Source organism: Homo sapiens, chromosome 14 (genome assembly GCF_000001405.40).
Source record: "Homo sapiens chromosome 14, GRCh38.p14 Primary Assembly".
In the NCBI taxonomy this organism is placed as follows: domain Eukaryota; kingdom Metazoa; phylum Chordata; class Mammalia; order Primates; family Hominidae; genus Homo; species Homo sapiens.
Genome location: NC_000014.9, coordinates 51232386 through 51258282, shown reverse-complemented (window position 1 = coordinate 51258282; position 25897 = coordinate 51232386). Strand labels below are relative to the sequence as shown.

The following is a 25897-nucleotide window of genomic DNA, read 5'->3' as shown; positions in this document are numbered from 1 at the left end:
TGTTGATCAAACAGTACTGAGTTCCAGTTAGACAACAGGAATACATTTTAGTGATCTATTGCATGGCATGGTGACCACAGTTAATGCATATTTCAAAATAGCTAACTTATATTTTTAACATTTTCTCCACAAAAAAAATGATAAACTGGTGAAGTGATGGATATATTAGCTTGGTCAAATCTTTCTACATGTACACAGATAAAAACATCACATTGTATCCTATAAATATACACAATTATTTCCTGTCAGTTAAAAATAAATGACAAAGGCCAGGCACAGTGCCTCACGCCTGTAATCCCAGCACTTTGGGAGGCCGAGGTGGGCGGATCATGAGGTCAGGAGATCGAGACCATCCTGGCTAACATGGTGAAACCCCAACTCCAGTAAAAATACAAAAAATTAGCCGAGCATGGTGGTGGGCACCTGCGCCTGTAGTCCCAGCTACTCGGGAGGCTGAGGCAGGAGAATGGCGTGAACCCTGGAGGCGGAGGTTGCAGTGAGCCGAGATCATGCCACTGCACTCCAGCCGGGGCAACAGAGTGAGACTCCATCTCAAAAATATAAATAAATAAATAAGAAAAAAGGGGATATGTTACACCTGTTCAAATATATAATCTGACTTTGCTATTTACATATTACCAAAATTCCAACTTAAATTTATTGTTACTCTAGTTTTAATGGTTTCACAAATACAAAAGTTGCTAGATAAGCAGTACCAACATATCTAAATCTCCAATGATGTTCAATTAAAATTTTATTTATAGACTCATACACTCAGCAAAACCACTCATTTAATAAGTCCAACTGAAATAAATTCTTATTAATAAAATACCTATATTGAAAGTAATATATTGTAAGAACTCTACCTTAAATTGACCATGGGGATGAACTACAATGTCATAAAATATGAGCCAAAATGTTCACTCAATAATTTTAATTACATCACAATTAAGCCCAGAACTATGCCTTTTTTTGTGTAAGGCTGAATAAGGACGAAACTGATGAGAGAAAATTGCTTTCTAAAGCATCATTTACTGCAATAACTTACTTTATGCAATAACCAACATCACGAGACTGCAAATACTGAATAATTATGGTTATTTATGAATAGCATTTATTCACTCCTACATTCTGACAGGAGTGAAATTTTAAGACCAAAATAATAGCCGGGCATGGTGGCACATGCCTGTAATCCCAGCTACTTGGGAGGCTGAGGCAGAAGAACTGCTTGAACCCAGGAGGTGGAGGTTGCAGTGAGCCAAGATCATGCCATTGCACTCCAGCCTGGGCAACAAGAGTGAAACTCTGTCTCAAAAAAAAAAAAAAGACCAAAATAAGAGATTGCTGAATTTCATGTACCCACACTGAAGAAAAAAAACAAAAACAAAAACAAACAAAAAAAGATTTGGAACAAGAATTAGATTCAAATTTTACCTATTTGTACCACACCTCTGGGCTGACTCACCTGAAAGATGTGCAATGCTTACCTGTCTTGCAGTTGTCATTAGGACTAAATTAATAAATACAAGAAAACAACAAAGCTCCAGTAGGTACTTGGTAAATGGCAGCTGTTAGATGTAGCCAGAATTCTTCATTAAAACTTTTTTCAGTCTTTCTGATAATCATTAAGTATTTACACAACGTAAGGTAGAATACTGTATTTTCCTCTAGAGATCAGATTTTACAATACTTCAGTAGTACAGCTGAATTGATTATGGTGGGTAGGTGGCCCAGAATTCTCCAGGATATTACTTTTACTATACCTTATTCTTTCCTAAACCATTTGTAAATAATCCCAAAGTTTCTATAAGCCTGTTACTAACTGAAAATTAATTACTCAGATGTCTACAGTGACAATCTTTAAGAACCGTGAGATTATATGTTTCCTGAAATTTCAAGACCCTATCTGTTCAGCCAACTTTACATTTTCTATAGTACAGGGGTCTTTTTGTGGTTTTTGTTTTGCTTTGATTTTTTACTCTATAGAATCTTTCTGGTCACATATTTTCTAATAAAAAAATTGGCCATGTCACATATACTAGAACACTAAAAAAAAAAAATGCTTGATTAATGAGCATTACTGTCCTTAAACATCTCAATAGAAAAAGAAGGCAGTCTTTTGATTACACATATCAAGTACATATATAGGAACACACAACTACTCATCTGAACATCGTTAAATACAAAGTAATAAAGCATACCTTCAAAAAGCAACCAGAAATCATACTGGTCTTCAGCTTTAATGAAGTGGTTAGAAAGGTTTATTTTGTGCTTAGGATATTTTTCTAAGGCATCACAAGTTACACATCCAAACTCTTCAATGGTACAATATTTTAAATTCTAAAGGAGAGGGCTTTAAAGAAAACTTGTATATTACGATACTGTAAATCTAATGGATTCACACAGCAACAGAGCCTAGAAAGAAGGGGACATTACAGAAATTGTCTACTACGTAATGGTCAGTTGATTCATTGTATTTATGATTTTCCCCCTTCTTTTAAGGTGAAAACTATGTATTCTAGCTCTTTAAGGAGTAAAAATACACTAAAATGTTCCATCCTACTGACTTTTACCTGTGAAATCCCACACAATATTACCAGTCAGGAAAGAACACAGGATAATATGAAGTTTGTCTTTTAAAAAATATAAAAATGTTATTATTTTAAAACATCAAGCATTACAGACTGTAAAATCAATTAAGAACTTTCTGTATATGAGGACAAAAATACATTTAAGACATATACAAGAAGATGCTTTTTCCTGAGTAGAATGCAAACTTTTATATTAAGCTTCTTTGAATTTTCAAAATGTAAAATACCAAGGCTTTTTCACATCAGACAAAAATCAGGAATGTTCACCTTCACATCCAAAAAGAAAAAAAAAAAAAAACAATTTCAAGTTGAAGTTCAGCAAGAATGATGTAAAATCTGAAAAAAGTGGCCAAAATTTTAAATTACAACAGATTGTTCAATTTGATGGATCTCTCAGTAAACTTCAGTTTGAAACAACAAAAAAATACTGTTTACTAAAACATAAAAAATGTTTCCAAGAAATTATCATCCAATTTGAAAAATAAAAAATGTAACCCATAGTAAGTAAGAAAAATACAAGAGAAAATCAAACTTTGTTGGAATCAAGAGAATACCATGAACTTAAAAACTTCCTAAATCAGTAGCATATCCTGTATTACCATGTGTAGAAAACTGTAATTAATTAATGTAAGGTAGTTTTTATTAGTTGCATAACCTAAAAATACAAGGAAATTTTGGAATATACCTCTAAAAAGACCACGAAATTGTCACTGAAATACACATTTCTTGAGACAATGGGCAAACTTCCCATTTATGGGAAATATCTTCTTTTTTTCACACAGTGAAACAGAGAAAAATTATATCAAATGAGAAATATTTTTCTCTAAAATAATCTTCTTAAATACCTCAATAATGCAATACTTGGGAAATGTAAATTTTCAAAACTCAGACTTGAAATAGGTTATTATTAAACAAATATACATAAATCTTATTGCTTGGCACGATTTTTCAAAAATTAGAGAACTATTTAAACCATCATACTGTGCTTAAATCATATTTCAAACTTGTATACCTAGTGCTTTTATGTTCTGAATGTAGACTCTTCAATTTAATGACAATCTAGACTGAACCCTGCAATATTCAAAAAAGTCACAGTTCACTTCAAACCAAACAAAATGATCAATCTTCTGTTTTTATCAAAATCATAATATTAAGATAACTATAAAATTTAACTAGGATTTATCTGTGGCCAATGATGGACCCAGAGAGCGTTGTCTTATGGCATTCTGTGGAAAGTCTTTGTTTGTTCCTTCTTTACTTTCAGCTTCTTCTTCTGAAACATCTTCTTCATCCGCCTCTTGTTCCTCCTCCACTTTTTTCAAAGGTTGTGCAGATTCTGATAATAATTTTTCTTAAAGACAAAGACCAAAAATGTATTTTTGTTGATGTATTAGATTTGCTTTAGAGTAAAATCAAGATACAATGTCTCATATGCCCCAAAACTGCTTTGGCATAAATTTATCATGTTTGGATGTCCAAAAGGAAAGTTATTCAAGATAAGATAAAAAAAACCATGAATATTATAAAAATAAAAATTGTTTGAGCCATTTTAGTTATCAAAGTCATTCTAATTACCCACCTATTTATAAACTGAACTGAAATTAATGAATCAGCATTAATGTTGTGAATATGGAAGTTGTGAGAAAATATACAGCATTAAAAAAAACTGGTTGGTCCAATGGTAGTAGGTTATCAGAACTTACTATTACTGTCACTAATGGTGATACACAACCCCCACTGCTAAATTTGACTGCCTTTTAAAAAAACTATCTCATATTAATTTGCTATTAAACTTCTGGTCAACAAGTATACTAAAACTTAAACAGTATCCTTGTTTCAGTTCCCAGGGGAACAGAAATCACACATTTACAGTTGAAGGTTGTATTTCTGTCCATATCTTCTTCTGGTCTTATAAATGTGCTTCCCCTTACTCATCCCCCATATGTATGATTTTATTACAACATAGTTACAAGAATAAAATGTACAAATCTTAAGTGTACATCTCAATGAATAAATACACACCCTTTCGATGTTTTATATGGCCAGCTGCTAGTTAACTTAAGCTTAGAGCACACCATGGTGAGATACAGGAGACAGAACTGGGTCAAAGAGCTTTACTCTGTTCAATGATCTCAGACTGCCCCCAATCCTAGGCAATCAAGAATGGTGGGGCCAGGGAGGGGACACCCGCAAGGAAGGATTGGGTTAATAAGGCAGAATAAACCATGGGGAAAAATTACCAGTAATGAACCATCTGTTGTTTAGTCTGCCTGGCATCCATCTTTATTTTGGGCTAACAGCCCCTTTTCTATGCCACACCCCAGGCGGTCCTGGTGAATACTAGTTTACAGCAGTGGTTCCCTACCAAGGGTAAGTTCTCGCCCTCCTCAAGGAACACTTAACAATGTCTAGAGATATTTGTTTTTTCACACCTCAGAAGGGCAGTGCTATTGGCAAGTAGAATGCTATTAAATATTCAACAGTGTATAAAAGGCAGTCCATCACAACTAAGAATCATCTGGCCAAAAACGTCAATAGTGTCAAGGCTGAGAAACCCTGGTTTCCAAAAAATGAGACCTTTACACAAGCAGAGTGCACCAGAATTTCTCCAAAAAATAGGTGGGTGTAGAAAAAAAATGAATTTCCTTCTTATTCTTAGATTGTGACTATGGTTTTCTCTAACCACCTTATGCTAGTGACTGGAAAGGGCCAAACTGATCCAGATGTCCTTGTGAGCAGAAAAAAACTAGAAAAATAAAAAATAAAAAATTCTAAACACTCAACTGAGAATTGAACAAGTCAAGGTGTGGAGAACTGAGTAACTCAGAAACAGCATCTTAACAACATCATTTGAGCCTTAAGGATCCAGTCAACCCTGACCTCAGACTTCATCCCTACATAAACCAATAAATTCCAATTTTGCTTAACAGTAGATTGAGTTGGGTTTCCTTAGCAACCCTAGCAACTCAAAATCAAGACAAGCACACATACTGAAAAACAATTCAAATCATGTGTTCCATTACGGAAGGGGCATGGCAATATCACTTTAAAGTCTGGATTAATATCAGTTGTATTACTAAAGAAAAATAAATTACACAATCATATACATAGTGCTTACTGCTTATATGTTACTAGGATAATGTGAGCATTACATACCTATCTCCTAAGTGTCATAATGATCCAAAGGGGCAAATTTAATTACTTTCATTTCACAAAGGAGGTTACACGCTCAGAGGGTAAAAAATGTCTGTCATACTGCTTTGCTACTAAGTGGTAGAGTTGGGATGCCCAATCAGATCTCTCTGGCTCATAGACCATGCTTGCCTTCTTTTTGAATGATTTGGAAAGGCATTCAAAAAACCCTTTACTTTATACCTTTCAATCCCTCCAAATTAACAGATATTTAAAGGGAAAGATTTCTTTAGTGACTTTTACTGTGGATCATAATAGAGGACAGAAAAACTTAAGTAGCTTGACATTAATTAGCCAAGTCATTTTAAAAATTTCATTTCCAAGAAATGAATTCCCTTGTAACTTCCTAAAAGAGGTAGAGTATTATCTCTGTCATTTCCTTAGGTTCAACTCTTTTAAAGTTTCTAAAATTGTGCCTATTCACTGACTTACCCATCTTGTTTGAGAACACTTACCTCTTTGTGTACACCAGTTACGTATTCCACGATATTGCACAGAAAGGATTCTATCAGAGTCAGTATTCTTTTAAAAAGTTTGTATGGTCAACACCAAAAGACAAGTTATTTCAGGCCCCGGGGCCTATAGATTTTCCCATTGGTAACCACTTTCTCTAAGACAGGGGTTCTCAAATAGTGGTCCTCAGACCAGCAACATCAACTTCACCTGGGAATTTTAAGAAATGGAAATTCTTGGCCCCAATACAGAACTTCTGAGTCCAAAACCCAGGGTGGGGAATCAGCAATCTGTTTGAACAAGTTCTTCGGGCAAGTCTCAGACACTCTCAAGTTTGCTCTAAGTGGTAAGATGACTCAGACTCCAACACCTACATCCTCAGAGAAATCAATCTATGCAGACTCCCAAAGTAAACTCTTGGGAGACAGGAGGACGACCTGGCAACAGTGGCAGTAACAGCCTGCACATCACATGACTTAGTAGGTACTTTGGTACATTTATGGGATCCAATGCTAGTTGCACACTTATCACACAACGGATTTTCTGACGGCCATATGATTTATGTGAGGGTGAAGACAGAATATAAAAAAACAAAACATAATACAGATGCTCCTTGACTTATGATGGGGTTATACCCTGATAAATCATCATAAGCTGAAAATATCATAAGTCAAAAAGGCATTTAATACAACTAACCTATCCTTACATAAGTTGAAATACATTAATACACCTAACCTAACCTAATCTGCCCAGCATCACAAAAGTACTCCATACCAGTAGCCCAGAATAGGTCAAAATTCAAAATTTAAAGTACGGTTTCTACTGAACGCATATTCATTTTGCACCATCGTAAAGTCAATTTTAAGTTGAATGATTGTAGGTCAGGGACCATCGGTATAGCTACTTTTATATATCTATCTTTTGTATCTACTAAATTATATCTTACATTTTATTCACAATTTAAAAGTTGGTGAGTAAACATTTTATATTCATTTCACTTCAAAAACCTTAAACCTAACAATACATTTGTCTTTTAAGTAATCTGTGCTTACGTTTTTTTCCTAGACATCAGTGGCCCTTTTTGGATAAAATGATTCCATCCCCTATGCATGTCCTTTTTAGTATCAATGCAACTATCTAAGAAATGAAAAGATGACCTACCAGTATGAAAGGACAAGGTACACTATAAATTCAATCTCCATAGACTTCATTTCGGAAATTTTGATCTCAATAAGCTAAGTTAAGAAAGACATCATGGCTGGGCGCAGTGGCTCACGCCTGTAATCCCAGCACTTTGGGAGGCCGAGGCTGGCGGATCACGAGGTCAGGAGATCGAGACCATCCTGGCTAACACAGTGAAACCCCGTCTCTACTAAAAACACAAAAAATTAGCCGGGCGTGGTGGTGGGCACCTGTAGTCCCAGCTACTCGGCAGGGCAAGGCAGGAGAATAGCATGAACCCGGAAGGCAGAGGTTGCAGTGAGCCAAGATCGCGCCACTGCACTCCAGCCTGGGCAACAGAGCGAGACTCCGTCTCAAAAACAAACAAACAAACAAACAAACAAAAGACATAATAAATGAAGGAATATCAGGCCACAAGTCTGATTTAGTTAAAATCAGCTTTGTCACTTCTGTGTGACTGTGAACCTTAGTCTCCTCAAGTACAAAATGGGAGCAGTAACACCTATGCACTCTACTACAGAGGTGCTGAAGAGCAAACGAGGTAACAGATAAGTAAAAGTTCTTTAAGAACTGCAAATATAAATGCTTCCATTAACAGTACAATTACAAGATTGGTAAATGCTTGTAATTATTTAAATTGTTCTGTAGTACAGTTCAGTGTCAGTGGCATCCTAAATCAACTATAGGGATTGCTTTTCCCAATATCCTACCAGAAAAAACTTACAGTTGGCTGGCATTCAAAGAATAATCTTCAAATGTGGCGGCCGGTATACTAATGAAAGACTTCAAGAGTAGAATATACTCCACTTATAAAACGACACCAAATAAATATTATTAAATAGCTACATGCTATATGCAATGTTAAAATTCCCCATAATATAAGAGTCAAGAAAATAACAATGTTCCAAAATCCACTGGGCTACATTCTTATATGAAATATACATCTCCTCTACCTTCCTTTATGCCATAGCTGATAAAGACCAACAATCCACAGTTAGAATTCTAAGCTGGAAGAGCAACCTGTGAAATGTGTGATTGTGATTACAGAAATGAATAGGACTATCGTGAATAAAAAATAAACATTTTAAAATATACTTACTTGAAGGGTATGGGTACGGCTGTGGTCTGCGCCTTTTTGAAGGACAAAGGCAATCTGCCACAAATATCATACACTGTAAAAATAAACATTGTAAGAAATCTGAATGTAGAATATATGCCACAGCTAATGTAACTATTTTAAATAATCACATTTTTAAATATCTTTCTTCCTAGCACTCCAAAAATGAAATACTTACGAGTCCTAATAACAGTCCGGAAAACAGAGTTGCTAAAGCAAAAACAGTATATGATCCCCACACTGGCAATCCAAGGTCTTCAATAAAGTAGTTATGGCAAGTCTAAAATCAAAAGAAAAAAAAAAACTAAAAATCTGTTCATTTTTGTTAAAGTGATAGTGGTAAAAATGTTTAAGATAAAAATATTTTAGTCCATACCCTGATCCACATAGATAGCTGAAAGAGTGCTGACATACTACTCATCCTAAAAATAAAAGAGATGATTAAAAAACTGAGTAACATACACAGATTTGTCTATACATACTATTTTCTACTCTATAATTTCCCCAATATGACAGATTTTATTGCTGTTAATCAAGACTAGTGACACATCACTGATTTCATGCCTGTAATAAGCCTTCTTCATGAAAACTGTTTCTAAATTGACACTACCATGTGACAGCCTCATAAATAAAAATACTTGACAGTATTTTTTTCCTTTTCTCCCACTGTTTTGATGTTAATATTTTGTATTTCATCTGATGATTTCTCCAATACACTGAGTAAAGGGTTACAAGTTCCATGAAACCAGTTGGAAAAGGCAACTCTTACTCACCCTTAAAAGCCTTCAAAGCAAGACCAAAGGGAGGCTAAAGTAAGGACTGGAAACAATTGTCAAGCCAATTCTTTCCATTTAAGAACTATCCCTCTTTTTTATTGAAATTAATTAAAATTTACAAGAGCATTAGTTTGACATCTTTTAATGATATACAAAATTATTACATAGGAAATAAATGCTAAGTCATCATATAAGCAAAAATTAGTATTTTACATAATTAAATGGCCAGTTTTAAAAAGGCATGTTTCAGAAATAAGAAAGGTCTGTGAGTTCCCAATTGTAGCTGCTTGAAAATAGACTTACAAGCAACTACTTTCTTCTACTGGAAGGACAAGATTCATTTATGAGATGAGATTTCAGAGAACAAAAATCAGTTATACTTTTAGTTCGACACAGAAAGGTATTTTAATCATGTTGCTTCTGTTGTTTAAAAGCCAAGTGAGAAGAGAAACAAGGAACTGAAACATAAAGCACTGTATAGCCTCACTGTAGTCTGCAGTAATTTATTTCAGAAACAGTAGGATCCAAAATTGAGTTGGGCATGGTAGTTCAATGGGTGAGTGTTAACAGGGCTAATCTTTCTCCCATCCCCAGAATCTAGAGCATTTTTCTCTTATGTGATTACTGTCCCAACTCCCTATCCTCCAAAGGTAAGTGTGGTGAGAGGACAGGAAGAGACAGATGGCCACACAGGATCAGTCCATGGTGACCTCAGCAAAACTCACTGTTCCCAGAGGTCTCTCACATGACCAGTGAGGCCTTGTACTCCAACAGCAAAGCAGAAAGCATGCTTGCTACTTCCAATCCTTATCACTCCATAGCCAGTTGCTACGAGGAAATTCATCTACCCTCTAGATATCTATAAAGCTCAGTGCTTAGGCACACTATTACGGTCACCGTTTATACACACTATTCATATAAGAAGTTATCAGACAGGTGGAATAACCAACCAAACATAATTCAGTCGCTTGACATCAAGAGTTGAAGTTTATGTAATTAATTTAGTTGGTATCGGCAATTATTGACGGTCTCTATGGAGACAGAACATTAAAAGACAAATTGAAGTCTGGAGGTAGCATGAGTACAAGTTTGAGCCTACTCATTCAAATTATTACACTCGAGTGATAGCTTTACCCATTACACTGTGAAGACTCTTAGGGGCATTTAGTTTTTGATGATACATATGACCAAATCTAGCAAGCTAAAATATTCCTGAAAAGGTGTACAACTTACTTCTATAAAATGCCTTCTCTAACTCAAGAAGCATGAAAATATGTTTGACTTAGAAGGTCAAACTAAAAAGATCAAACATGTAGGCCGTGCATAGTGGCTCACACCTGTAATCCCAGCACTCTGGGAGGCCGAGGTGGGCAAATCACGAGGTCAGGAGATCAAGACCATCCTGGCTAACACAGTGAAACCCCGTCTCTACTAAAAATACAAAAAAATTAGCCACGTGTGGCGGTGGGCACCTGTAGTCCCAGCTACTCGGGAGGCTGAGGCAGGAGAATGGCGTGAACCCAGGAGGCAGAGCTTGCAGTGAGCCGAGATTGCGCCACTGCACTCCAGCCTGGGCGACAGAGCAAGACTCCATCTCAAAAAAAAAAAAAAAAAAAAAATCAAACATGTAATAAATGTGGATATACCTTAACAGCTCAAGAAACAAACTGAGTATGAATGCTTTACATAAAATATAATTATCTGTTCCAATTAATTATGAAATGGGTAAGAGAAAAAGCCCTCATACTTACAGAACAGAACCTGGACCAAACCATGATGAAACGGGCTCAATACTCTTCCACTCTTTATCACTTATAAAGTTTATGAAGTCCTTCTTAGTCCTTGGACCCTGATAGCGCCTAAATTCACCATCTTTACAACTAAAGAGAATCAGAATTAAATATTATCCAGCACTGAGAAATAATTTAATATTTATTTTGCTATTTTTTCACTTCACTTTACAGTCAATTCTAACATTCAAAAGCATTAGCAATGTACAAGTATTAATAGCAAATTATACTATTTACCTACTCATGACATTTTAGCCCCCAATTTAACAATGAGGTTACATTTTTTTAAATCATAAGCCTTAAAATGTAATTACTGTTATTCTTCCAAGTAATGAAACTATGAAATACAGTAAGTAGATAAATCTCAGGAAAGTACTTTTAAGCCTTATGTGTAATACACATATTAAAAGAATTATATAAAAATTATTAGAATAGTGCTTGGCACATAGTAATTATTAGCTGTTAAGCTATAACTTAAAATTTTAAGGCATTTTTCTAGTACTTTTGGCTATAATAGCATCACCTCAGACACCCTGCTTTAAATCACTGGAGGCATCTGGTATGGTGCTTCCCTTCCTCTCATTTCAGTGACTATTTAGTGAGCTTTGCAGCCTTCCTTAGATCCACCTCCTCCTTCCCATTCCCAATGTAGAAAGTTCTGTCAGAGTCACAAATGTTCTCTTGGCTCCAACATCTTTAAGTGCAAAAACTCATCAGCTCCCTACTAGGGACCTGTTAAGTAGGGTTAAGGGACCCTTTATCCACTCAGAGGTAAAAACCACGAGGAAGCCCCCCACCCCAAAACACAAAGTTTTTGTGAAGTGTCATTTGAGCTATTATTTGAAGCATAGGTAAGATTTCGACAGGCAGGAAACAGGAGAAAGGATATGGTAAACAATTTTGACTAAAAGAAAAAGGGCAGGAAATTCCAAATAAGGTCACAGGGCACTAAGAAGTGAAAAGCAAAGGGAGAGACTGAAGGGGCACGTGGGGAAAAGGACTGAATGAGAAGGGCAGGACAGAAGCACTTATGGAGACAGCGAACAGAAATTTATATAGATGTAAAGGGAGTAGGGGTGAATTTTAAAACCATAAAAAAAAGAAAAAAGGGCAAAGAAAAGCAAGCTATAAATACAAAGAATTGTCAACTTATTTTCAGTACCTCCTGGTATTTAACCTACCAGCTACATGATGTTGGGGTACACAGACTTGAGATTTCATACCCTCAATTTAGAAGATAAAGTCAAACTAATAGACCTGACACTGAAGACTACATAATCTTGCTCATTCTGTTTTATTACCCAACTGTCACCTATTACTCTACCCAAGGCTGTACAACAGCACTTTCTTAGCTACTTTTTGGACATAACATGTTCCTGTTAATGACTGTTTATGAGATTGTCCTCACAATAAAATGCTTACGCTCCACTCTTAAAATTCTACTTCCAAGGTTTCATTTAAACCCCATATTCTCTGGGAACCAATCCAGGTAACTGTGATTTCTCCTTTATCCAATTACCTACAGGACTCACCACTACTTTGGATGCATAATGACTTAACACGCTGAACAGGATCACACCATTTCACAAGAACATCACTTTCCAAAACAACTGTAAATCTTTGAGAACAGAGACTGTTTCACACATCACTCAACTACCTAAAGGCACCTAGGATAACACTAAGCAAAACAAGCCCTCTAAAATACCTGCTGAATATAATGAGATTACCTCAGCTCTTCCAGCATGATCCAAGCCAGAGGCCTACTACTTCTGATTACACTATAATGCATCCTTCTCCATAATTTAGAATCTTCAAATACTTACTGATAAATAGTAGGAAGAGCAGTTATGATAAACCGTCCACTCAGTCCTACAAATAAAGAACACACAGCAGGTTTTACATAGGCCAATCACTGACTACTTAAAACGTGACTTTGAATTATTTAAATACATACTAATAGGAAAGAATATGAAATTATACCTAATAGTTGAGCTTCGTAATACATAATTTAAAAATGAATTATGTACTTAAAGCAACTTTAAAAAACACAATACTGCACATTATCTCAGTTAAAAAGTATGTAGAACTAGAGTACTGAATACATTTTTAAATAAAAACACTTCAACATTTATATCACTGTCAAAATTAAGACTACTAGTAATAAGAGCACCTTGTGCTCATGGGAGAGCACAAGGTAATAGGGTCTTAGATCTAAAATCCAATGGAATTGTACTTGACATTCAACAAACAAAGGCAGTTTATGGTGCTGCTAAAAATGGAAAATACTATGAATCTTTCATGAGACAGGCAAAAATAATAGCAGCTAACATTTATTGTTAGCCATGTGTCAAGCACTGATATTACAGAGAATTGACCTGTGCCTCAGTTTTCTTATCTGTGAAATGGGGACATTACATATTTCACGGGGTTGTATAAGGATTAAATAATAAACACAAGATATTTGGAAGAGTGCTATAATAGGCAAGCGCTCGATAAATATTACCTATTATTACCATTTGGGATGGGACAGCCAAGAATCCAAGGGTAGTGTGACTACCGAGAACGGTAAGATGAGATTGGTCTGTGGAAGGAACCTCCTTAAGGGCAGGACCTGCCACTTGTCCAGGGACCAAGTCAGGAGTGCACTTGACCTCACAACCACGAGGGCTTTATATTTAGAAGCCCACATCCTCAAATCATAGGTACTAAATTTAAAACTCAATTTCAGAGATTCAGGTCTTCTTTTGTCAGGGAACGTGACCTTGACTCCAGAAAAACACTCAACCACATGCTCCTTATTCTGAAGCCTGGTATGGATGCAAATGTGGCTTGGCCAATGTTCACCTGAACCACAGTGTCCTAGGACTTCTCAAAGGCATCTTACATACTAGTCTGGGGCCTGGGATGCAAAGAACAACAAATCAGAGGCAGTTATGTGGGCAAGAATAAAAAGAGGGTAATGTCTTCAAGAACCCTTAAAGCAACACATTCAAGAAATGAGGTGTATACACAACCAGGGAATCTCCATTTTGCAACCATTGCACACTGAGCCCCCAGCAGGGAGGTGGACAAGTCAGGTTAACTAGCTGCAGACTGTTAGGTTTTCAAAACCTAAAGAAAGGTAGAATTAAGACTATGCAATGTAGAAAAAAGGATAAATATATCAACCCAAACAGCAAAGAAACAAAACTAACCAAAGACTTACAGTACCTGGCTGCTCTGTGACATCTACTTTCGCAATATTAACCTCAAGATCTTCTCCCCATTCAGCAAAACTTTCCCATTCCGGTTGAAGATTTTGACAAGCAGGGCACCACGGGGCATAACTAAGAAATACAGATTTTTTTTTAAAAAAAGTTAAGCACTTTAGTATGACCATTTATCTTGGGATAAAAAATTTAAATGTATAATTTATGAAGAATATTTCATATGAAAACACTGAAGATGATAAGGTGGTTAATTTTATGCAGATGAAAAACTTTTAAGGGTAGATCTAACAATCCGGAAATCAAGAATGATGAACTGATGATGCTAATCAAATAAAATTCTGAGAATAAGACACAGGATTTTTTCACATGCAAAACAGCTCTTTAGAAAACTTTTGCATTTCTCTATTAACGGTGTGGCCACCAGAAAGCTCAAGACCAAAGTTAGAGCTTACCAATTTTAATAATTTATAATGCAGAGTCACAAATGCAAGGTGTTGGAAAAACAGAAGTGTCCTGGGCTGTGGTGAATAAGAAAGCACATATTCCATCTTAAAGTGGCAACCATTATTAAGTAGGATTGCCACTAAGGATGCTGGCACACTAAGGCTGGCTATTCATATTTAAAAGAAGATGGAGAGCTGCATTTTTATATGAGAATGTTACCTCAAAAAATAACCCACACACAAATACTAAGCAGGCCAAACAAAACTCTTGGCCAGTTAGGTCATCCTGTTTCCAAGACCTTGGATTTACAAATGCAAGCATATTAGCATTTAAATTACTCCTCTGGTATTATCTCCTGAGGATCTTATTTTTCCACTTTATTGTATTTTATCTTATAATACACCACAGGGTTGTTCTTTTTTTTTTTTTTTTTTTAACAGAACCAGGAAGAATAAAGCCTAAAGCAGTTAAACACAAAACTATACTTTCTGTACTTCACATTTTCTTCACTTGTTTTATGAAAACCAAACTCCTAAAATAGACATTGTAGAACAAGACAAACTGGTAGTATAAAAGCCAAGCTCCTAACAATAAATCGTATTACAATGAAAATATCTCCATGACAAAACTTCTGAGCAGAAATGGATTTACTGTAGATAATTCACTTGTAATTAGGAGCAGACTATTACTAAAACTACTAGAGTCCTTCTTTTTCAGGTTCGTTTTGTTGCTCAGTTGCTTTTTTATTTTTTGAAACAGGGTCTCGCTTTGTTACCCAGGCTGGAGGGCAGTGGCGCCATCTGGGCTCACTGCAACCTCAACCTCCCGGGCTCAAGACATCCTCCCACCTCAGCCCAAGTAGCTGGGACTACAGATGCCTGCCCACACGCCCAGCTAATTTTTCGTATTTTTTTGTAGAGACTGGTTTTTGCCATGTTGCCCAGGCTGTCAGTTGCTTTCTAAAAACTTACTTTAGAATCTCTACTTAAGGAAAAAGAAAAACTACTACTCTATAGCATAATTTCAGATAGATGCTCCAATGTGGATTTACCTCATACTCAATGTTTTGTTAGTCTTGTTCTCCTTAATACTACTTCTGATTGCTGTATTTATATAGTTGGACCATAATGAGTTAAAAAATATCCTTGAGTAATACTTGACTGTATTTTGCATATACACACACGATCACTATTGCTTAATATATTGCTTATAACACTATTTTACAGGCACGATCTAAAACAAGTTACTCATGATGATGACTGAAAAAGTGTCACAGTTCCTCTCCCCTGAAGCTTTCAATGGTGCCTGAATGAAAATTCATTTCAGAATTGCAGACTACATGCATACTATGAAAATTTCCCTTTATCTTACCCTCCATATAAATGTTCTACTTTTTTTTTGAGATTGAGTCTCACTCTGTCGCCCAGGCTGGAGTGCAGTGGTGCGACCTCGGCTCACTGCAACCTCTGACTCCCAGATTCAAGCGATTCTTCTGCCTCAGCCTCCCGAGTAGCTGGGACTACAGGCGCGTGCCACCACGCCCAGGTAATTTTTTGTATTTTTAGTACAAACGGCGTTTCACCGTGTTAGCCAGGATGGTCTCGATCTCCTCACCTCGTGATCCACCGGCCTCGGCCTCCCAAAGTGCTGGGATTACAGGCGTGAGCCACCGCGCCGGCCAGTTTTGTTTTTTTAAAAAATAACACAGGACTTACTGATTTAGCCTTCTGGGTTCTCCCTTGGGGATGTCACTTTCACTGGCCTCCTTAACTTGACAACCCTTGCTGTATTCGTGACACAAGAAAACACTCACCTGAACCCTGTTGTCTTTTCATTTTTATTTATTTACTTATTTATTTTGCTAGTTGCCCAGGATCTCTTGAACCCCTGGGCTCAAGTCATCCTCATACCTCAATCTCCTGGGTAGCGTACGCCACTTCCAGCTGAACCTTTTTAAAGAAGAAGGTGTTCTAACAACAATTATTGTATGCCTACTCTGAAGACCCAAAGAAAGCCAGCACAGCAATATCTGCATAGGTTAACTAAAGTATTTAGGTATCTTGTTACTCATTTGTAAAACGTGAAAAACACCTGTCATAGAGAATTTGTAGGGAATTAAATATGGTATTCGTGTAAAGGTGCTTAGTGGTGTCCAGTACACTGTTAATAATTATGCTTTTACTATTATCAGTAAATACTGCTAATATGTATAATACCACCATCAACAACGACTTAGCATCTAAAGCAAAGACAGATACTTTATTTCCCACCGCGGCAGAACAGATATTATTAAATTGAAATCACCACACAAAATACATGATTTCGTTCGAGCAATAAATGATGACCTGGCGCTCTTGAGAGTGTATACATTAATACATTATCTTTTAATGTAATACCATTTACAAAGACCTAGGAGTCACAACCCAAGGTATTCTCTACACTACAAAGACACCCAAAGGAAAAATGAGATGAGGAGTGAAAAAAAGAGAAAGCAAAAGAGGAGGCAAAAAGAGAAAACGAAAACTTAAAAATAACCCAACTTGAATTGACTCAGTATTTACAATAAAAAAGAAACGTACCCAATCCATTAAAAAAAGCTTAAAAGCGCCAAATTCCAACACCATAAAGAGACTATCTTTTAAGGACAGACAAAACGAGAGGAGAAATTTTGCTCAATATTCTCTTATGTAAAATGTGGTGAAAATAAGTGTAGAAGTCTGTGAAGAATCACTTTAACTACTTAGACACGAGTCGGACACCTCCCTCCCCGCGCCCCAGTCGCATCCTCAAAGTCATGAAAAATGTCAGAATTCGCATTGGCACTAACCCTTTGGGCGCACCACAACCCAAGAAACGAAACGAGGGTGCACCCCAGAAGAAACTTAACATTCACGGGTAAGAGACGAGGGGGTGGGACCAAGCTGGCGGCAGATCCCAAGAGTTTGGGGAGCTGCAGAAGTCGGGGACGCTCGCTCCGCAACTCGGAGGCGCAGTCCTGGGGAGCCTGCGACCCGCACGAGGAACGTGCGGGGTGAAGTCGTGTGTCCAGGCACGGACGTAGGACCCTGGCCGCCCCGCACTCACAATTCTATCATCCAGTCTCCTTCCAGCAGTTCTCTCCAGTTCTCGTCCGTGATGACGCGAACGTTGCTCCGCCGCCCGTGCGTCCAGGGAGCACCCCAAAGCAACAGCACCAGGACTGCCAGGGGAACTGCAAGACTCCCGGAGGGCGCCATTTCGCCGCTTGCCCACCTCACAGGGAGCGCGGTCGCAGCTCCCACTTCCGCCCTCGCGGGCTGCTCAGCGCAAGCGCACTACGGTGCTGCGAGGAGCGCCTGTCTAGAGGACTCTCAATGCGCATGACAGGGGTCTGATCCCAGTGAGTGGTGAAGTCGGGAAAGAGGGAAGAACGACTCTCCGCAATGCGCATGACAGAAAAGCGGCTGCTTCTACCGCCTAGGGTGTCCCAATATTGTGGGGGAAGGAACAGAGCAAAAGGAGGCGTGGTGTAAAAAGTGGGGCGGTGCTTTGAGGAAGAACGGTTTAAAAGACCCTCCCAGGATTTTGGCGCCAAATGGTTAGCGTTTACAAGCAAATTGGTAAGTTTATAATGTGCTAAAGCAGTTTTCCAATTAAATGTCCTTCAGAGTTCTCATTTGTTTTCTTTGAAACATGTAGTAAAGCTAATGGATTTTATAGGAGTCGGAATATTGGTTTACTTCTGAGAGATTATAGACAGGGAAGGTGCAGAGGAACATTATGGTTATGTTGGATGTGTTGGAGGTGTTCAACATCTAGATATGAACAGTAGTTACATGGGCGTACGTATATGATTTTTTTTAAAGAAGGATCAAGCTGTACATTTTAAGACAGTGCACTTTATGCACTTTCAGGTGTATGTTATCTCTCAAAAAAAATTCAGTAGGTACAGAGATCCTAGGTCAGTACTTCAAAATGGAACCAGACACATAGGCTTGTAAGATATTTGAGTTTTTTCTCTCAAACATTCGTAAATACAAATGCAAACCAAAATGTGCACTGCCCCATCAGTCAAATGAAAATAGTTGCAGGTGCGGTGGCTCACGCCTGTAATCCTAGCAAAACAGGGAGGCCAAGGCAGGCGGATCACTTGAGGTCAGGAGTTTGTGACCAGCCTGACCAACATAGTGAAACCCCGTCTCTACTAAAAATACAAAAATTAGCCAGGCGTGGTGGCAGGCGCCTGTAGTCCCAGCTACTCAGGAGGCTGAGGCAGGAGAATCGCTTGAACCCGGGAGGCGGAGGTTGCAGTGAACCGAGATCATTCCACTGCACTCCAATCTGGGCTATAGAGAGAGACTAAGTCTCAAGGAAATAGTTGCCACTATCTTACCTCACCTTTTCAACTTAATTAACCCCAATTAGTCCCCTTCCCCACCCCTCCACTGAATAGCCCTCTCAAGGACACCAGCGACCAGCAAGATAAATCCCAATTGTTTCTTCTCAATGCATCTAGCATGACTCCTAGCCCCATTCTACCACACCCTTGAAACACTTTACTATCTTGCTGTCTGGGCAGCTCGCTTTTTTTTCTGTCCTACAGTAGCTGATTCTTCTCAAACTTCTTGGCTGGTCCTCCTTTACTTCCGGACATCGGCATCTCCAGGATGCTTTACTGCCCCCCGCCCCCCATCTCCCGCCACCTTTCTCTTCATATCATCAGGCTCTCATCTTTCTGGGAACTACAGGCATATGTATTCAACTGTATATCATTCAGACTCTGATCTTTCTGGGAACTACAGGCATATGTATTCAACTGTATATCATTCAGACTCTGATCCTTCTGGGAACTACAGGCATATGTATTCAACTCCTTGCTAAACATCTCTTGGGTATGTAATAGCTGGTGAAAGGAAAAGAAATCTTGGGGCCCCAAAATCATTAAGCTAAAGGGAAAAGTCAAGCTGGGAACTGCTTAGGGCAAACCTGCCTCTCATCCTTCTTCTCACTGAGATAAATGCATATCTGATTGCCTCCTTTGGAAGGCTAATCAGAAACTTAGAAGAATGCCACCATTTGTCTCTTACCCACCTATGACCTGGAAGCCCCTTCCTGGCTTCGAGTTTGTCCCGCCTTTGCTTTGAGTTGTCCCACCTTTCCAGGCCAATACAATGTTCATCTTACATATGTTGATTGATGTCTCATGTCTCCCTAAAATATATAATATAAAATCAAGCTGTGCTCCACCCACCTTAGGCACATGTCCTCAGCACCTCCTCAGGCTATGTCATGGGCGCGCATTCTTAATTTTGGCAAAATAAACTTCCTAAATTGACTGAGACCTGTCTCAGATTTTGGGGGTTCAGAAGCTCAAACATCAAACGGCCAAAAAAGATAATTCTTGATTCTTCCTCTCCTGGTCTTCCATCCACTAAAGAGCCCCGAGGTTCACCAGGTTTCTCTAGCCAAACATGTACATGTTAATTCTTTATTGTTCTCTCTCTTCACCTTCTCCTCTTGTAACCTATGAGCAAATCTTGTAAACGTTACCTTCAAAACGTATCCTGAATCTGACCACCAATTTCCATCTCAACAGCCAACACCCTAGTCCAGAGTTTTCTTGCCTTGAGTACAATGAGAACTTCCTAAATTTGTGAGAAAATAAATTTCTATTGTTTAAGCCACCCAGTCTATGATATTTTATTATGGCAGCCCAAGCTAAGACACTAGACCTCCATTACAATGTTGAATAGAAATGGCAAGAGTGGCCAAACATACTTATCTTGTTCCTGTTCTTAGGAGAAAAGCGTTGTCTTTTACCACTAAGTATGATGTTAATGTGAATTCTAAATAGTTGCCTTTTATACAGGTGAGGAAGTTTCCTTCTATTCCTAGAAGGTCGTCTGTTTTTATCTTGAAGAAGTGTTGAATTTTGACAAATCCTTTTTCTGCATTTATTGAAATGACCATGTGGTTTTTGTCCTTTACTCTATTGATATGGTGTTTTTTTTGTTTTTTTTTTTTTTTTTTTTTTGAGACGGAGTCTTGCTCTGTCATTAGGCTAGAGTGCAGTGGTGTGATCTCAGCGCACTGCAACCTCCGCCTCCTGGATTCAAGCAATTCTCTTGCCTCAACTCCCGAGTAGCTGGGATTACAGGCACGTGCCACCACGCCCAGGTAATTTTTATATTTTTAGTAGAGACGGGGTTTCACCATGTTGGCCAGGATGGTCTCTTTCTCTTGACCTCATGATCTGCCTGCCTCAGCCTCCCAAAGATACAGTGTATTACATTGATTGATTTTGGGACATGAAATCAACCTTGCATTCTTGGTATAAATCCCACTTAGCCATGGTGTATAATTCTTTTTATATATTGCCACATTCAGTTTGCTAGTATTTTGTTGCATATTTTTATGTCTATATTCCTTAGAGATATTGGTCTGTAGTTTTCTTGTAATGTCTTTGGTTTTGCTATCAGGATATAACTGGCCTCGTAAAATAAGCTGGGAAGTGTTCCCTCCTTTTCTATTTTTTGGAAGTGTTTGTGAAGAATTTGTATTAACTCTTCTTTAACTGTCTGATAGAGTCTAGCAGTGAAGTCACCTAGGCCTGGGCTTTCCTTTGTAGGTAGCTTTTAAATTACTAATTCAATCTCTTGTTATAAGTCTACTATGATTTTCTATTTCTTCTTGAGTTGGTTGTGGTAGTTTGCATCTTTCTAGGAATACGTCCATTTCATGTAAGTTGTCTAATTTGTTGGCCTAACGTTGTTCATAGTATTATAATCCTTTTTATATCTGTAACATTGATATTAATGTCCTCTCTTTATTGCTGGTTTTAGTAATTTGAGTCTTCTTTCTTTTATTTATTGGTCAGTGTTATGGTTTGGATATGGTTTGAGTTTGTCTCCATCAAAACTCATGTTGAAATTTGATTCCCCATGTGATGGTATTGGGAGGTGGGGCCTATTGGGAGGGATTTGAATAAAGGGGGTGGATCTTGTGAATGGCTTGGTGCTGTTCTTTTTTAAAAAAAATATATAGGGTATCTCTCTGTCACTCAGGCTGGGGAGAGATGGTGCAATCATGACTCACTACAACCTCAAACTCCTGGTCTCAAGTGCTCCTCCAGTTCAGCCTCCCAAGTAAAGGTGATAGCCTCAATGCTGGCCCTGGTGTTGTTCTCATAGTGAGTGAGTTCTCACTCTGATGAGACTGGATTAGTTCTCTTGGGAATGAATTAGTTCCCTTGAGAATGGGTTGTTATAAAGCCAGGATACCCCTTAGGTTTTCTCTCTTTGCACTTGTCCGCTTCCCTTTTGACCTTCTGTGCCATGTTATGACCCAGCACAGAAGACCTCACCAGAAGCCAGGGCCATGCCCTTGAGCTTCCCAGCCATTTGCACCACGAGCTAATAATCATGACCTATTTTGTTTATAAATTACCCAGCCTTCTGTTATAGCAACACAAAACAAAGTCAGTATAGCTAAAGGTTTCTCAATTTTGTTGACCTTTCCAAAGCACCAACTTTTAGTTTTGTTGGTTTTCTCTACCATTTTTCTATTCTCTTCTTGATTATTTCCTTCTTCTTTATGCTTTGGGTTTATGCCCCCTTTTACCCTGATTGTTTTAAGATGAAAGTTATGATTATTGATTTGAGATCTTTATTTTTTTAACGTATGTGTTTAAGCTCTAAATTTCCCAACCCTGCTTTAGCTGTATCCCATAACTTTTGTTTTGTTGTGTCATCATTTCATTCATCTCAAAGCATATACTAATTTTCTCTTTTGATACCCTTTTTTGTCAATTGGCTATTTAGGAGTGTGTTTTTCATTTTCACGTTTGTGAATTCCCAAATTTATTTTTGTTATTAATTTCTAATTTCATTCTATTGTGGTCAGAGAACATACCTTGTATGATTTCAATCTTTTTAAAATTTATTGAGATTTGTTTTATGGCCTGGTATATGGCCTATCCCAGAGAATATTCCATCACTTGAGAAGAATTTGCATTCTTCCATCACTGGGTGTTCTATAGTTAGATGTCTGTTAGGTCTGATTGGTGTATAGTGTTGTTCAAGTCTTCTAGTTTCTTGTTGATATTCTGCCTACTTGTTCTGTCCATTGTTGAAAGTGGAGTATTGAAGTTCTCCAAATATTGTTGAATTGTCTATTTTGCTCTTCGTTCTGAAAGTTTGTGTTTCATGTATTTTGGGGCTCTGACATATATCTTTATAATTGTTATATATTCCTGAGGATTGACCCTTCTCATCATAAAATTTCCTTCTTTACACCTAGAATTTTTTATTGGTTTTATATTCATTTTGCCTGATATTAGCATAACCACTTCAGCTTTCTTATTGCTGCTATTTGTATGATATATCTTTTCCATCCTTTTACTTTCAACCATTTGTATTTTTTAATCTGAAAAGTGTGTCTCCTGTAGACAGCATATAACTAGACCTTGAGGGTTTTTGTTTTTGTTTTTATTTCTTTCTACCTAGTCTAACAATGATTGCCCTTTGATTGATTACATATTTAATCCATTTGCTTTTTTTTTTTTCTTTTTTGGTGGGGGACAGGGTCTCATTCTGTTGTCCGGGATGGAGTGCCTGGACACTCCACTTACTGGTAATGTTATTGTTTTGTTTGTTTGTTTGTTTGTTTGGCTTTTTTGAGAAAGAGTCTTGCTCTGTCACCCAGGCTAGAGTGCAGTGGTGCAATCTCAGCTCACTGCAACCTCTGCCTCACGGGTTCAAGCAATTCTCCTGTCTCAGCCTCCCAAGTAGCAGGGACTACAGGCATGCGCCACTATGCAGAGCTAATTTTTGTATTTTTAGAGAGATGGGGTTTCACCATGTTGGCCAGGCTGGTCTTGAACTCCTGACCTCAAGTGATCTGCCTGCCTCAGCCTCCTAAAGTGCTGGGATTACAGGCATTAGCTACCACAACTGGCATGTTATTGTTAATATGGTTGGATTTCTGTCATTTTACTTTATGTTTTCTATATGTTTTATGACTACTTCATTCCTCTATTCCTCCTTTACTACGTCTTTTACAATAAACACTTTCTAGTATAACATATAATCCTATAAGAATTTCTTATAGTGTATATTTTGAAAGTTTTTTTTAGCATTTTCTTTAAAGTTTACTATATATATTAATTTATCAGAATCTACTTCAGATTTATACTAACTTAATTCTAGTGGGATACAGAAACATTACTCCTATGTAACTGTTTACTCTTTCTACTTTTTGTGTTATTGTTATATATTGTATCTATGTTATAAATTCAGTAATATATTGTTATAATTATTAATTTATGTACTTTTATGTTTAATAAAGAAGCTGAGGAAAGAAACAAGAACAAGTATATATTTAGTGTTTATTATATTAATATTCATATTATCATTTTTGGTTATCTTCATTTGTTCCTGTGGATTTAAATTATCATCTGGTATAATTTCCTTCCTCCAATACAACTTTGCTCCCACCCACCATCTTTATGCTGTTGTTGTTAATTATATTACATTTCTGTATGTTATAGGCCTAACAATGCAATTGTAAAAAATTGTTTTATACAATTGTTTTTTAAATCAGCTAAGAGACAAAAGGAAAATAAATATACATTTATACTGCCTTTTATAATTACATAATCACCTTTGCCCATTCTCTTTGTTTTTCTTGTGGCTTTAAATTACCATCTAGGCACACTTGCTTTTAACTTGAGAAGCTTCCTTTAGTATTTCTTATAAGGAAGATCTGTTTGCAACCACTTTTCTCAGTTTATGTTTATCTGGGAATGTCTTCATTTAACCTTCATTTTTGAAAGATGGTTTTGTTCTATATAAGATATTTGGTGTATAGTTTTTTCTTCCAGTGCTTTGAATATGTCATCCACTGTCTTCTGATCTCCATTATTTCTGATGAGAGGTATCTAATAATCTTATCAAGGTTCACTTGTACGTGACAAGTTGTTTTTCTGTGGCTGCATTCAAGTTTTTTTTTTGTCTTTGTTAGCATTTTTACTATGATGTATCTGGGTGTGGAGCTCTTTGCATTTGTCCTATTGGCATTTGTTGAACTTCTTGTACATTTAGATTAATGTTTTCTGGAAAATATGAAGGTTTCAGTCATTATTTCTTCAAATCCATGTATTTTTTGCTCCTTTCTCCCTCCTTTCCTTCTGGTAATCTCGTTAAGCATATGTTGGTAAACTAAATGGTGTCCCACATTTATTGCTCATTTTTCTTTATTCTTTTTTCTTCCGTTCTTCTGATTGCATAATCTCTGTGAATCTATCTCAAGTTTACAGATTCTTTCTTCTGCCTCCAAATTACTGGTGAGCGCCTGTAGTGATTTTTTTTATTACAGTTATTGTACTTTTTAACTCTAGACATTCCATTTGGTGCTTCTTAAAAATAATTTCTATTTATTGATATTCTCTTTTCGATGCAACATTGTCATCATACCTTCCTTTAAGTTCTTTAAGCACGATTTATTTAAGTTTGTTGAATATGTTTATAATGAATGCTTTGATATCTTTGTTAAATCTGACATTTTGGCTCTGTCACAGGTAGTTTCTGTTGCCTACTTTTTTCTCTGATCTATGGGTCATACTTTGCTATTTCGCTGCATGACAATTTTTTCATTGAAAACTGGACATTTTAGGTAATACATTATAGCAATTCTGAGTACTGATTCCCTCTATATGGTTTGGACTTGTCTTTTGTTTTTATTTGATTGTGGTTTGTTTAGTGACTTGGCTAGGCTATTTTGGTGAAGTCTATTTCTCCAGTAGCGGAAGGCCTCTGCTCCCATTTCTCAGAGAGTGCAGCCTTGGACATGTGCACCGTCACCAGGGGATATCAGTGGTTCTAGCAAGGCTCTCTTTGACTGTCTCTTTCCTTGATCTCTCTGTTAAACTTTCTGTCTCGTTTGGTGTTACCTCTAGCTGTTGTGCTACACTAAGTGTAGGATGATTTCTCTGTTTAAGAAGATACCCCCTGGGGCATAAATTGCTCCACAGTCTAATCCAATAAAATTCAGGCATTGGTAGTTTTTGAGGCCAGTCTTGGAGGTTTCCTCTAACCTCAAGAGGGCTCTTCTTAGTTGTCTCCTTCCCTGGTTCTCTCTGGTAAACTAGCTAGCTTATGGTTTAGCT

At 37.3% G+C, this 25897-nt stretch overlaps 1 protein-coding gene and 1 non-coding gene across 2 annotated transcripts, besides 4 other annotated features; both read right to left on the bottom strand.

The window, feature by feature from the left end:
* Positions 1 to 627: 627 nt before the first annotated feature.
* TMX1 (thioredoxin related transmembrane protein 1) lies at positions 628 to 18036 on the bottom strand. Its single transcript, NM_030755.5, has 8 exons — positions 17839 to 18036; positions 14312 to 14427; positions 12925 to 12970; positions 11063 to 11191; positions 8912 to 8957; positions 8714 to 8815; positions 8518 to 8590; positions 628 to 3942 (listed from the first exon to the last, which is right to left on the bottom strand). Exons 1-8 carry the CDS (start codon positions 17988 to 17990, stop codon positions 3764 to 3766), a joined length of 843 nt encoding a protein of 280 aa, NP_110382.3. The 5' UTR covers positions 17991 to 18036; the 3' UTR covers positions 628 to 3763.
* Positions 10011 to 10100: an enhancer, noted in NCBI's record as "active region_8373". NCBI's record gives its function as "activates an Ori minimal core promoter by ATAC-STARR-seq in GM12878 lymphoblastoid cells {active_cell/tissue: GM12878}" and the evidence as "EXISTENCE:reporter gene assay evidence [ECO:0000049][PMID:35858748]".
* Positions 14059 to 14193, bottom strand: LOC124900346 (small nucleolar RNA SNORA70). Its single transcript, XR_007064395.1, has one exon. It is a non-coding gene; the product is annotated as a small nucleolar RNA SNORA70 (small nucleolar RNA).
* Positions 17758 to 17997: an enhancer, noted in NCBI's record as "active region_8372". NCBI's record gives its function as "activates an Ori minimal core promoter by ATAC-STARR-seq in GM12878 lymphoblastoid cells {active_cell/tissue: GM12878}" and the evidence as "EXISTENCE:reporter gene assay evidence [ECO:0000049][PMID:35858748]".
* Positions 17758 to 18200: a biological region, named in NCBI's record as "ReSE screen-validated silencer GRCh37_chr14:51706801-51707143".
* Positions 17858 to 18200: a silencer, noted in NCBI's record as "fragment chr14:51706801-51707143 (GRCh37/hg19 assembly coordinates)". NCBI's record gives its function as "represses an EF-1alpha promoter that drives an FKBP-Casp9 reporter gene in an ReSE screen in K562 erythroleukemia cells {active_cell/tissue: K562}" and the evidence as "EXISTENCE:reporter gene assay evidence [ECO:0000049][PMID:32094911]".

What these genes read in the sequence shown, in the direction of transcription:
- TMX1 (NM_030755.5), bottom strand. Translation starts at nt 17,990, where the DNA reads ATGGCGCCCTCCGGGAGTCTTGCAGTTCCCCTGGCAGTCCTGGTGCTG. An exon ending in AGCTATCTATGTGGATCAGG is followed by an intron (nt 8,816 to 8,911) that starts GTATGGACTAAA and finishes TTTTGATTTTAG; the next exon opens with ACTTGCCATAACTACTTTAT. An exon ending in CCGGACTGTTATTAGGACTC is followed by an intron (nt 8,591 to 8,713) that starts GTAAGTATTTCA and finishes TTATTTTTACAG; the next exon opens with TGTATGATATTTGTGGCAGA.